General features: G+C 40.8%; 2 annotated features.

The window, feature by feature from the left end:
- Positions 832-1126: a silencer, noted in NCBI's record as "tiled region #10975; K562 Repressive non-DNase unmatched - State 13:Ctcf". NCBI's record gives its function as "represses a minimal TATA promoter and a strong SV40 promoter by Sharpr-MPRA in K562 cells {active_cell/tissue: K562}" and the evidence as "EXISTENCE:reporter gene assay evidence [ECO:0000049][PMID:27701403]".
- Positions 10728-11277: an enhancer, noted in NCBI's record as "NANOG hESC enhancer chr3:40961458-40962007 (GRCh37/hg19 assembly coordinates)". NCBI's record gives its function as "activates a minimal SCP1, AML or CMV promoter by ChIP-STARR-seq in naive H9 embryonic stem cells {active_cell/tissue: H9 hESC(naive)}" and the evidence as "EXISTENCE:reporter gene assay evidence [ECO:0000049][PMID:30033119]".

Genomic DNA, 13864 nt, shown 5'->3' with positions numbered 1-13864 from the left:
TCAGGGTGGCAACCCCAGGCCTCAGAATTCCAGAAATACTCTCTAGGAACCCTAGAAATTTACCTGGTGTTCTATTTTACTGCAGCTAAACTGTCACTCAAACTGCAAAATTAAGTCCTTTCCACTTTTCCTTCCCCTTTCCAAAGGCAGAGGAGCCTCCTCTCCATGTGGCCACCATGAGCACTGATCCATAGGGCATTCTGCCAGGGCACTGCCAATGTTTACTTAAAGCCCAAGGCCTCTTCAGTCAGCTTATGATGAATGCTGCCTAGGACTCAACCTTTAGGGCAGCAAGCTCCCCTCTGGCCCAGGGCAGGTCCAGAAATGCTGACTAAGAGCCTAGACCTGGACTTGGGACCCTAAGAACCTACTTGGTGCTCTACCCTCCTGGGGCCAAGTTGTTACCCAGGGTGCAATACAGAGTCCCCTTTACTTTTCCCACCTGATTTTCTCAAACAAAAGGAGTCCTTCACCATAGCCACCACAGGTGTGAATGTTCTGGATCACACCTGAAGCCAGTAAGTCTCAGAGCCCAAGGCCCACAGCATATTACCAATGTATTGTTCTTGGTTATTCAGGGACCAGGGGCTCTTTAGTCAGCAGTTGGTGAATCCTACCAGGTCTCTGCTGTGACAGGGCAGCACTGAGTTCAATGTAAAGTTCCCTAGTCACTGTGCTCTCCTTCTCCCAAGTGCACAGATTTCTTTGCACTGCATGGCTGCTACCAGAGGGTGAGGGAGAGGTGGAACAAGCCCTCTCTTAGCCACCCTGGCTGGTGTCTCAGTAGTTTGTGTGCCCTGCCCACCAAGTCCACTGGCTCTGAGCCCAGCTCAGCACCAGGACTTGCATAGGAATTGCAACACCTGTGGCCTAGACTGCCCCTCAAGTTCACTTAGGGCCCCAGAGCACTCCAGCACACAGTGGCAGGGCTTTTATCAAGTCATGCTGGGATAGATAATTCTGTCTGGTTAGGGCCAGTCCAAATGCTCCCTCTGTGGGCAGATGTCAGCTGAGTACAGCCCAGTTCTGCTTTCCACTGTGATGGGGCAGCACTGAGTTCAGTGCAAAACCTCATAATCACCACACTCTCCCTCTTCAAAGCACACAGATTCTCCACACCATGCAGCCACTTCTGAGGAATGGGGAACAGGTGGCATCAGCACTTCAAGACTGTCTTTCTTGCTCTCTTCAATAATTCTTTCACTGATAGAAGTTAAAACCAGGTACTGTGATTGTTCACCTGATTTTTAATTCTTGTGATGATGCTTTTTGTGGGTAGCTAGCTGTTAAAATTTGGTGCTCCTACAGGGGTGACAAATCGTGTAGGCTTCTGTTCAGCCATCTTGCTCTGCCTCCTTCTTTTGTTCATGTTAAAATTGGATTATTTGTGGAGTTTTGTTTTGTTTTTTGCTGTTGAGTTGTTTGAGCTCTTTATGAATTCTGGTTATGAATCCCTTGTCATATGGATAGTTTGCAAACATTTTCTCCCATCCTATGGGTTATCTCTTCATTTTGTTGATTATTTCCTTTGCTGTGCAGAAGCTTTTTATCTTGATATAATCTCAATTGACTATTTTTGCTTTGGTTGCCTGTGCCTTTGAGGTCTTACACAAAAATTTTTTGCCTACACCAATGTCCTGGAGAATTTCCCCAATGTTTCCTTCTAGTAGCTTCATACTTTGAGGTCTTAGATTCAAGGTTTTAATACATTTTGGTTCCATTTTGATTCTGTGTGTGTGTGAATGGTGAGAGAAATGAATCTAGTTCATTCTTTGGCATATAGTTATCCAGTTTTCCCAGCATCATTGATTGAAAAGACTGTTTTTGGCACCTTTGTCAAAGATGAGTAAGCTGTAAATGTGTGGATTTATGTCAGCGTTCTTTATTCTGTTCCATTGCTGTGTGTGTCTGTTTTTATGCCAAATACCATGCTGTTTTGGTTACTATAACTTTTTGATAAAATTTGAAGTTAGGTAGTGTGAGCCTTTAGCTTTATCCTTTTTGCTCAGGATTGCTTTGGCTCTTTGGGGTCTTTTTTAGTTCCATACACATTTTAGGAATATTGTTTTCTATTTTTGTGAAGAATGTCATTGATATTTAAATAGGGATTGCATTGAATCTGTAGATTACTTTGGGTAGTATTGTCATTTTAACAATATTAATTCTTTCAATCCATGAGCATGGACTATCTTTTCATTCTTTTGTGCCCTCTTCTATTTCTTTCATGAGAGTTCTATAGTTTTTCTTGTGGAGATCTTTCACTTCTTTGGTTACATTGATTCCTAGGTATTTTATATTTTTGTAACTGTTGTAAATGGGATTGTGTTCTTGATTTCTTTTTCAGATTGTTTGCTGTTGGTGTATGTAATTGCTACCAATTTTTGTATGTTGATTTTGTATCCTGCAGCTTTACTGAATTTGTTTATCAGTTCTAATAGTTTTTTGGTGGAGTCTTTAGATTTTTGTAGGTATAAGATCATGTCATCTGTGAACAAGGCTAATCTGACTTACTTATTTTTAATTTTTTATTTGGATGCCCTTCATTTCTTTTTCTTGCCTAATTGCTCTGCCCCAATCCCAATTTTAACTGGCTCAACTTCATACATGAAGAAAGATATCAAATAAAAGTAAGAAATTAAAAGGAGTCTGGAGATAAAAGATAATACCCAAAACAGAAGAAAACTCTGAAATAATAAAAATAATTATATCATCCCCAGAGAAGTACATTTACTTAACCAGTTATAGAGTGCCTTTTAAGTGCTTATTATAAAAGCTGAATAAGAGAAGAAATGAAATAAAATGTCACATGTATAAAACATGCATAGGAAATTGTGAAAAAAGATGATGGAAAAAATGGAAAAATGACAAAATACCCAAAGAATAAATTTAAGACATTCAGTATCAAATTGATGAGTTCCAGAAAAAGAGCAAATTGTTGAAAGAAAATGGCTAAAAAAGTGAGATACATTTCTTTTTCATTGAAAGGGCCCAGATAGGGCTCAATACAATGAGTGAAAAAGTATCCTCTCCAATATGAAACTATGAGATTTTAGAATATCACAGGTATATCAGAACTCCGAAACTCTTCCAGAGAGAAAAAAAAAAGACAGAAAACTAAAAGTCAGAATGGCAGGGATGGGTCTTCCTAAGGGCAATACTGGATGTTAGAAGACAAAGAAAAAACATCTTCCAAATTCACCTATAATTATAGAGGCAATCAAAGTATTTAAGTGTGAAGGAGTAATAAAGGCATGGATTGAAAAACAGAACCCATAAGGCATCCTTTCGTGGGAGATAACTGCTTTCGTGGGAGAGGTACTGTAGTAAATTAAGGGAGTAAACCAAGAAATAGGAAGACATGGAGTCCAAGAAATGGTCTCCAACAGAAAATACCACAAAGGGAAGTCTCTTGCTAAGGATTTTGTAGCAAGTCTAGGGAACCAGTCCTCTCGGATCGCAGAAGAGACAAGGCTCCAAAAGAGGGATCTAAAGGGAATAAAAGGGAACTGTTTACTCAAAGGTCATCTGATATTATGGAGTATTCCAAAAGAAAACACTGGTAAGTATGTGATATAAATCAGATGCAGCATGTGGGAAAAAAATATAGTTACATAAAAAAGCCCAGGTCAATGAATAAAACCAGGTGACCATTAACTTCAGGAAAATGAAAAAGAGTACAGGAAAAAATATAATACTCTGCTTTCCACTGTGAATGTCATTTACATAGGCACAATAATGTAAACATTGACTGTATTAAAAAAACTAGTTAGCATTTAGAAGGATGGGAGCAGAGAAGTGGCCTTTGGTGATATTACTATGAAATTTTAAATCATTTAAACAGGGGATCAGTAGATTCTAAACACTGGCAATATAAAATTACTTAGAAATATGCAGGTTAATATCAGGAGAAAACAGTTCAAGGAGGCAAAAATAAACTGCTTCTAGGAAGTGGGCTTGGGGACTGGAAGGGTTGCAGGAGAATTGTAATTCTTTATTCTAAATCTTTTGATATGATTTGACTGTGTAACTATTTGTAGGCACTACACTTGCATTGTAAACCCTCTGTGTACTGCTTCAGGTAGTTTCTACCTCACCTGTGTTATTCAAACCTTAGCTGTGGTAACCAGTTCTACACAGGATCTGACCAGCTTCCTGCAGGTGTAACCTGACAGTGTCTTGCCTCAGATCCATGCCCTATGCTTCTGACTTCATGCTCTTGGGCTTCTCTGTGAAATCCCAGGCAGGAGCCACTGTGGGAACCCACTCACTTCCCACATCTGTGCAACCTGGAAATGCAAGGGAGTTAACGCTGCAGAAGGCAAACTTTTGACCAGTGGAGAGTCCTGAGCTGGTGGATAAACACATCCTCTTTCTTCCTCTGGACAGACAGTTTTGAGACAGGATTCATGGCATCTCCCTGGATAGAGCAAACAGTCACCTGCAGTCATGGCTGAGCAATAGTGCATCTTTGTCCTATCGTCCTCCTTCCCACTGTCACTGTCTGGACACTCATGCCATCCTCTGGATCATAGTCCCAGTCAGCCTTTGCTTTCTTGGCAAACCCAAGAAAAGTCTAAAATGATTAAAAACTTTTAAACAAAGGCAAAAATGGAAAGAAATTAAATAACCTACTTTCTAAAAAAGATCTAAATGGAAGATGATACTATAACAAGGAAATGCAAAGTGTAAATGCAGAATTTTTGCAGCAGTAGATAAATACTTGAAAAGGAAAACTAATGGTTTAGAATTGATAATTTCTTAGCAAAACTGAAAGTTGAAGGAGGAAAGAAATGCTATAATAAGTAAGAAATGCTCCAAAGTTCCCTTCACAAGGAGTGGTAAAGGGAATTGGGCTGGCAAAATGTCTTGTTGGGGACAGAATGGCCATTGTTTCATCTCATATATCAATGGGAAATATAGGCTTAAATATGGTAATGAAGATAGGGAGGAACCCACTAGCAAAATGGAGAAGCATAATAACAGTTGGAAATTAATGGTGGTAGTTGGGGGGTGGTAGTATAGAAAAAAAACTCAGTCAAGCACATACTAACAAAAAAATAAATCAGTAGCAACAAGTATAATAAATAGAAAACATGAACAAAAGGAAAATAAATATACCATTTAAACTAATAATCATAAATGAGTTGACTTCTCCTTTTTCTTGAAAAAAAAAAAGGACTCTCAGGCTACAATAAAACCCCACAAAATTTGCATCTGTATAAAGTGTATGAGACATACTTAAAAGCAAAAAAATAAAGAAATGTTTATTTTAATCTTGATTTTAGAGATCAAAGATATACCAGGCAAATGCAAACAATTAAAAAACAAGAAAGATGACATTTTACTATAAAACTTAATTTGAGGCTTACACCATGAATTGAAGAAAAGAACTAGATTGTTTATGATAAAAGAAATAATCCTTGAGGACGATAGAACAGCTACAGACCTTTGTGCATTCAAAAATATAATAGCAAACTAAAGAGCAAAAACTCCTAGAAATATAAGGAGAATTTTATAAAATCACAATGATAGTAGAAGGTTTTATTACAGCTTTCATTATTCAGTATATTAAGGCATTAAAAATAAGCAATGTAGAAAGCATTTAAATATTACAGCCAACAAGCTAATTTAATAGCTGTCTATGATTTTGTTCACCCTGGAAAACATGTTTAGAAATCAACATATACTTGATCACAAAAGAAAACAAATAAACTATCTCCAATAAGAGATTTTACAGGTCACATTCTTGGACCACACTCCTTGAAGACCGCAGCTGTCTTTGTTTCTTCCTGCTCCCCATCCCCCTCCAAGGGTGAATAAATCAAGCGTTAGGTAGTAATGAGAAGGCAAGAAAGGGAGAGCAGTGGGAACTGAGGTTCTTGGGTGGCTACTATGAGATAGCAGCTTCTATGCATTAGCCACTTTTCCTATTTTTAAAATCCAGTTCTCAACACCTTCCTGTGTAAGGGAATTTCATCCATTTGCAGGGGACGGAGAGTTGTTCTTCTTATTCAGTATTTGCACACTATCAGATCCCTATAAACTCCAGCAAAGTCCATGCCTTCCCTTGAAAGAGAAAGAACTGTACCCTCTGCCCTCAAATCCAAGGCCTCTTTCCTATCTCTGGGTGGCTCTTTTCCACATCAGTGGTAAAATGGGGATTGTCACACTGACCCACTTCTCAGCAGGGCTGTGAAATGCAACGACTAATTACAAAGGCTAATAAAATATTTACAGAGCTTACAGCACACTTTGGAAGTGCAAGGGTATAGTTAATAAAAATAATGACGGTGCTAGACAAACACTGCTCAGAGCCTAGTGCCACTCTCAAGAAGAGTAAACAACTTGCCAGGGTAATTTCAAGCCCTATTGGATGCTTGCAGCAAGTATCACTGTTGTCCAAGAGGAGAGAAAATCTGCCATGCAGGAAATCTTGACTGAAGGCCACAGCCCAGCCATTCAGAGCAATGTGGTTTGATTAAAATGAGCAGTGACCTTTTGTGCAAATGCTGGGATCTCTGGGCTTTTTCAGAATTCAGGGAGGTAGAAGTGAGTTGGCTGCTTGCCACCTTGGGCTCAAGGTCCTAGGCCTTGCTTGTTCTGTAAAGAGACCCTTCTCCAGGAATCCGAAGTCCAGACTGCTCTGGGCTGGCCAGGACCAAGGAAGGGAGGGATCTCTTAGTGGAAAGTATAGAGGCATTTTGGATCTTTGCAGAAGACACTAGAAAGAGCAAGTAGCAGAGCCTATTTAAGTAATAAAAAGAGAGGCAGAGGATCAGATGGTTCCAGACAGGAAGACAGAACCCATGCTAGGAATTTGGTGTAGGGGACTGGAGTTAGTAGAAAAGCTGATAGGGCACATAGAAGGAGACAGTGAGGTGACCTAGAGGTCAGCAACAGTTAAGGTAGGAGGAACGAAGGTGGAGGTGCTGTCACCTGAGCCCTGAAGGTGTGAGCTGGATCCATGAAGAAGATGCTGCCACTGCCTGAGACATGAGAGCCAAAGCCGAGAGATAAGGGGAGAAACCCTGGCTTCTACCCTCCTCCCTCCCACCCTCCAATGTCCTGTCTGTCTTCCTTCCATCAGCCAAACCTAAGCAGAAGCCAGTAGACAAGGAAGCCTAGGAATTGCAGTTTGCATGGCTGGCATCTGCAGCACAGAGCAGGGCAGGGGAGGGCTTGAGGGCTGATAGGCAGGTGCTCAGCACTTGAGGTGGGAGTCGGGGGGTGGGGCCGAACAAGGCTGGCTCAGTTTTATGGGATGCTAGACTCTCACCAAGAACCATGGGCAGCACAGATGGGTATTTAACCCAGGAGTCACTTTCCTCATCTCACACGCTAGACAAAGAGGAGGTTGTGACCTCTGGCCTCCCACCTCCCAGCTACCTAATGACCCATCACCTGGTGAGCTAGGCTGGCCTCATCCACTGCCCATAAGAACAAGCCTACTGGTCAAGGAATATGCTTCTGGCCATTAACACAGGTTGTAAAAGTGCCAATGCAGCCAACCCTTAGGGAGCCTATGAACACTCCCTCTCTGAGTTTGAGTTCCAGCCGGCATCAGAGGCTCACTGCAAGGGTCAATGCAATCCTAACTGGTAAACCAGATTCTAATACTATGAGGGTGTGGAATTCTAGCTACAGAAAGTCACCTGCATGCAATCACAAACGACCAAACCTGACAACAGGGTCAACAACAGGGCAATGTATTAAAAATGGAGGATGTCCATCAGTTGGGCGATCCCAGAAGTCAATCTAGAAAGTTCCACACAAGCCCTTTTTAAATTTTCCTCCCCAAGAATGGTGTTTAAAATTGTAAACTGTCTTATGAATCAAGTAAGGAGAGTCAAGTTCACGGGGTGTTAATTTAATGACTCACTTGGGGCTTTGACTAATTTTGTTTCTGTGACAGTGTGATAATTTTACAGACTCCAAACCAGGAAGTGAGAAGTAATTCATTTCCATTCACTCTGTGTCAACACAACTGACTAGGAACCAAGCATTCCTTTAGGTAGGTTTGCTAGTGGCCAAATTGGAGACCAGAACTCAGGAGTCCAGGCTATGAGTTGTGCACGTGGCGAGGTGGGGAGAGCTATTGTGTTGTTAGTGACCCCGTCCCCCCGTATTCTGTTCAGAGTCCCCTTTTTCTTTTCAAATGGTTTGACAGGAACTGCTCATTCCTGCCTCCCATGGATATAACACTGTTTCTGTTTCTGGGGCTCTAAGAGTTTCAGATTTGATCCTTATCCAGAAGTTCACATAACTCAACTGTTATGTGAGGAGGATCAAATGAGAGAATGCAGTTCCTGGTGCCTCTCACCTTACCTTGGAGCAGGAGTTCAAGCAATACAAACTGCTTTAGCACTTTTGCTGTTGATGCGTTGTTTGAATGGCAGTTGTGCTGGTGAGTTTCCATTTGCCCTTCCAATCCTGCTCATCTTTATGGACTGTAGCAAGCATCTCCTTCATTCCTGTTTTTGTTTGTTGTTATTGTTGTTGTTGTTGTTGTTTTTGAGACAAAGCCTCACTCTGTAGCCCAGGCTAGAGTGCAGTGGCACGCTCTGGGCTCACTGCAACCTCTGCCTCCTGGGTTCAAGCAATTGTCCTGCCTCAGCCTCCCAAGTAGCTGGAATTACAGGCACACGCCACTTCACTCAGCTAATTTTTTGTATTTTTGAATAGAGACAGGGTTTCACCATGTTGGGCAGGCTGGTCTTGAACTCTTGACCTCAGGTAATCTGCCCTCCTCGGCCTCCCAAAGTGCTAGGATTACAGGCGTGAGCCACCACGCCTGGCCCATCCCTGTTTTTGGTGTGGCTATGGGAGGTGCTGGCAGGAAACTGCAGGATGAGGGGAACATTAGGTTGGGAGGTTACCCCTCTGCTCCCTCTCTGCCAAACCACACACGAATGCTGTGGTCCTTCCCCAAAGGCCACAGCTCTCGTGCAGGTAGTCGCACCCTCCCTTTGCCACCTCAGGACTGGGGGAGCTAAGTGCTCCCCACAGCCATTGGCCCCAGGTGCTTCCCTGCTTCCTATTGTCTTCCTAACCCTGTCCTTATCTTCAAAAATTATCCTTTTGTCAGTGAAAAGAGTCAAACCCTGTAATATACTTTAGAGGTTTATTGTGCATCAAATATTAGTGACCAAGGCCTGACCCTGTCCTTATCTATTGTCTTCCTATTGTCTTCCTAACCCTGTCCTTATCTTCAAAAATTATCCTTTTGTCAGTGAAAAGAGTCAAACCCTGTAATATATTTTAGAGGTTTATTGTGCATCAAATATTAGTGACCAAGGCCTGAGGCACAGTCTGAAGAGGCCCTGAGTAGGTGCCCAGGCTGTTGGGCCACAGCTTGGTTTTATACATTTTAGGGAGACATGATCAATACATATGGGGTATGCATTGGTTTGGTTCAAAAGGCGGGACAACTCTAAGTTGGGCGGGGTGAGCTTACAGGTCATAGGTGGATTCAAAGAGTTTCTGGCTGACAATTGGTTGAAAGAATTGTTATTATGATCTAAAGTCCTGGAATCAACAGAAAGGAGTGTCAGGTTCAAGATAAGGGATTGTGGAGACTGCGGTTCTTGTTATGTACATGAAGCCTCATGCGTGGCTGCCCTTAGAGACTCTAGTTGACAAGTGTTTGCTATTCAGATCTCTAAAAGATGTTGGACTCTCAGTTAATCTCTTCAGGACTGGGAGAGACTGGAAGGGGAAAAGATCTAGTTATAGTAATAGATATTCTTTACAGATGCAATCCCCTTGCCCCACCTACCGCCACTGAACAGCTATGCAGGCCATTTAAAAATATGACAAAGAAACATATTCAGGGATAAATTATTTTGATTTCCTTCGTTTTTCTGTCTGGCATGTGGTATTGTGCCAGAGTCAACATTGGAAAGCAGGCCACATTATATAGGGTTAAATGAAACTCCTCTGATGAGATTTTATGGTTTGTAGGGTATGACTCTCCAGTCCCCTTAGATAGGAATTTGGGCAAGAGAAGAAAAAGATCAGAGTTTAGTCCTCACTTTATTACATTCTACATTTGAGGGTGCTCTCCTTCTCCTTTCTGCCTGATAATTGAGTAAGTATATTTCACAATTAAAAAAAAAAAAAAAAACAGCAACAACAAAAAACCCCAAACCAAAATACAGTTTGAAAACTCTCAGGACCTTTGGCCAGCTGTGGCCTGGGCACCACTGTGTCTTTGCCATTTCATCTTTTTAAACTCCCCATTAGTAGGGTTGTGGGAGAGGAAATTGGAGGAATTTGTACCAAGTAAGGTGATCAGGCAATTAATTTATGGCCTATGCATACAGATTTCTGGAACATGTAATATTCCCATCAAGAATATTCTGTCTCACTGTAGCCACAAGTATTCTCATGTACTAGTGCCAAGCTCACAAGTTCCATACACCTCTCCCTGTAATGAAAGATTCTTAAGAGAGGTGCCGTACCCAGACCATTTCTGGGAAACTGGGCACACAGATTTCAGCACCTAGAAAAGTACTGGGCATATCACGGGCACTCAATAGTTATTTGTAGATTAATGAATATATTCTGGGATATATCTACAACCCACTATGGTTGGCATGTGAGGTGGAGTCAGAGACCTCGAGCTTCCCCAGTGCAAACTGTGCCCCTTGTCTCCACGTCTTTGTGTGCAGGACTCATCTGTAGAATCAAAGTATCAATCTTTGGTAGATACTGGCAGAAGCATCCAATTGGGTTTCTGATTTTAAATAGTCTTTTCTAAGGGAATATGCCATGCATTCTTGGGGTTACCATTGCATTGCAAACCCCCAATTCTAGCTTCTGAACTGACTAAAAGAAAAAAGAATGAGGGGACTTTAAATCTCTGCACCTAACTCTACTAGCTCACAGCTGAAAAACCTTGATCACAAGTTGCCCACAGGATGACTCACACTGAAATGAGAGCCTTTTCCCTGCACCATGTGTTTTTGTAATGCTAATTGAATGTGAGGGAACTACCTAAGGACAAGGCTAGCTTTTCAGGTGAAGTCTTTGGTTAGTCTGGCCTGGTAATGACGAACTAGCAGTTCTTAGGACCAACCCTCAATGCAGGAGGCTACTTTGTTCATGTGGTTTGGCTCCCTAAACTAATGAAACTGCTGGCAGAGAAAGGGGAAGAAAGGCCTGAACCCACGAGCAAAAACTAGATGTGGTCCAACCCTGCTCAGTGATGTTTGGGTTTTACAGATTAATTCTGCAGCTATTAAAAATTATCATGATCAAAATTCCCACAGGATAAACAGGACTTTACTACTGAGCATTTGAAAGTCTCTAGGCCTGAATCCCCTTCCTTCTCCAACTGAAGCTCGTCTTTATGGGTACTTTTGTAACAAGACTTCTTAAGAACATATATACTATATTTTAAGCAGAACAAACTGTGGTCAACCAAGAGCCTTGGGAAAGCTACCCTCTACCTACCCTCTACCTACCCTCTACCATTTTCCTCAGCTTGCTAGAATCAGCAGAAGGACCTTCCTAGTCAGGTGTGACAGCCTCATTCTAGCAAGCTTGATTGGTACTAGAGTCCTTTTGTGACAGTGGTTGGTTGTAATGTTCTAGATCTTCTTTTCAGAAGGATGATGCATTACTTAAGGTTCTCCAGAGAAATCAGAGAAAAAGAAATAATAGGATATGTGTGTGTGTGTGTATATATGTATATATATATGAATACATATACATACTCGATTATATGTATATATCTATACATAATGCATATTCTATGTGTGTATATATACATATACAGAGAGAGAGAGCACTTCTGAAAGCTCTCTCTCTATAGCTTTTGAACTTTATATTACATATAATAGAGAGACTTTAAGGAATTGTCTCACACAATTGTGTGGGCTAGCAAATCTGAAATTTGTGAAAATTCAGGCAAGAGTTGATGTTGCAGTCTTGAGGGGAATTTCTTCTTCTTCAGGAAATCTCCATCTTGCTCTTAAGGCTTGCAATGGATTATACAAGGCCCACTGTCATTCGGAGGGCACTCTGCATACTTAAAGTCTACTGATTTCATGTTAATCTTCACTCAAAGACAACTGATTGTTAACGTTAATCACAGCTAAAAAGTACCCTCACAGCAACATCTAGGCTGGTGTTTGACCAAACAGCTGGCCATAGCCTGGTGAAGTTGACACAGAACATGAACCATCACAGATGCTGATATAGATCACCTCAAATACATACACATTCCAACAGACACTGTCTCCTTTGGAGAAAATAGTCATCCCAAAGAGAGATATATGGAGATATATGAAGAGAGTAAGAAAGGGAAACATTGTACATTTTAGCAAGGTCTGGGTGTTATTGCCTCATTTTACTTTCTTTCAGTCGAAGTAAGTGCTGACTGGCACTATGAATTGCATGTGTTTTCTCGTGTGCCATGATTGGCAGTACCCCTTGAAGCATTAGAGTCCCCTCCTTCATTGTGTTCCTCGCATCTCCTCGCTCTCGCCTCAGGGACAAACAGGACAGCAGTTGGCCTGCGTTATCTAAGAGGTGCGGTCACCAGAGCATAGGCATCCTCTCTTCTCTCCTATCCATGACAGAGAGCAGGGGCCTACCTTTCTGCATATATAGGTCATGATGTTAAATAAATTGCAAGTTTTCTTTCCCGGGTTATCCTTAGCTTTTCTGCTTAAAAGCAACATATGCAAAGTAATTTAGGATGGCCTGCTGTATTCACCTAGGATCTGAACAAATGAACACTACCATTTCTGACATTTTAAATAAAGCAGTGAGGCTTTAAATAAAGTCCTGACCTATGGGCTGACTCATAATATCCACATACGTTAAATCTGAGGTTCATTTTCATTATTTTATTTTCCTATTTTTGGATGCTTCAATGAAGCCTATTTTCTAAAATGTAATTCATATTAATATTTCACAGATTTGTATTCACTTTTCACTAGAATTAAGGACTTGACTCAACAATGTTAAGAAAAGCAAATAATAGATATTTATATGATAACTGTAATTTGAATAGATTATTATAGTTTTTATTTTACAAGATAATGTTGCAACATATAACATTAAAATTTAAAATATTCAATTGTTATTGCCAAATGCAATCAGTTTTTAATGACAAACTTCCCTCTATCTTTTTACATTGTATAATTATCTGTAAACAGATCACCTGAGTTCAAATTAAATATTTAAACTGTTTGCTGATTAGTAACCTATGAAGTCATAGCAGTTATTATTTGTGACACAGTAATAACAACCTTCTAAAACTAGAGATCTTTTAAAAGTAAAATTTACATTAAAATGTAAAATACTACAGAAAAATGTACAAATCCTAAGTGTTTTAACTCAATGAATCTTGGTATTTATTTTAATATCTAATTATAAATGACTTCTGGGTTATAAATTATTCCTGTATATTTTTCTAGAGAGTAGGTCAGCAGGGATTAGGGTGACCAAGTCATCATTCTCCCAGGACTTTGCAGATTTTAGCACTGAAAGTCCTGCAACCAGGGTAGCTCTTCAGTCTCAGGTAAACGAACATTTGGCTACTCTAGCAGGGACAGGGCTGTGATCTGGTCTTACCATTGATTGAATGTATGTGTTGAATCACCTTCTCATCCCCTATCCCCTTCCCTTCACTTGTAGCCTCAAAATGAATTCTGTAATTGACACCAAAGTGTTGGTGTTGGGGCTAAAGGGAAACAAGAATAAGCTGGGGGACAGGATGGTGAACGGCTTACAGAGGTTTCCAAAGTGGAGCCTTATTTTACATTGCTTTTATGGAGCAGGTCCTTCTTTCTCCCTTTTTGGGTTCAGTACTATTTTCCTGCCCCTCAGCTGGAACCTCTTTGTGCTCTGACCT

This window comes from Homo sapiens, chromosome 3 (genome assembly GCF_000001405.40).
Source record: "Homo sapiens chromosome 3, GRCh38.p14 Primary Assembly".
NCBI lineage: Eukaryota > Metazoa > Chordata > Mammalia > Primates > Hominidae > Homo > Homo sapiens.
Note: the sequence above shows the minus strand (reverse complement) of the source record. Positions and strands in the feature narration are given on the sequence as shown.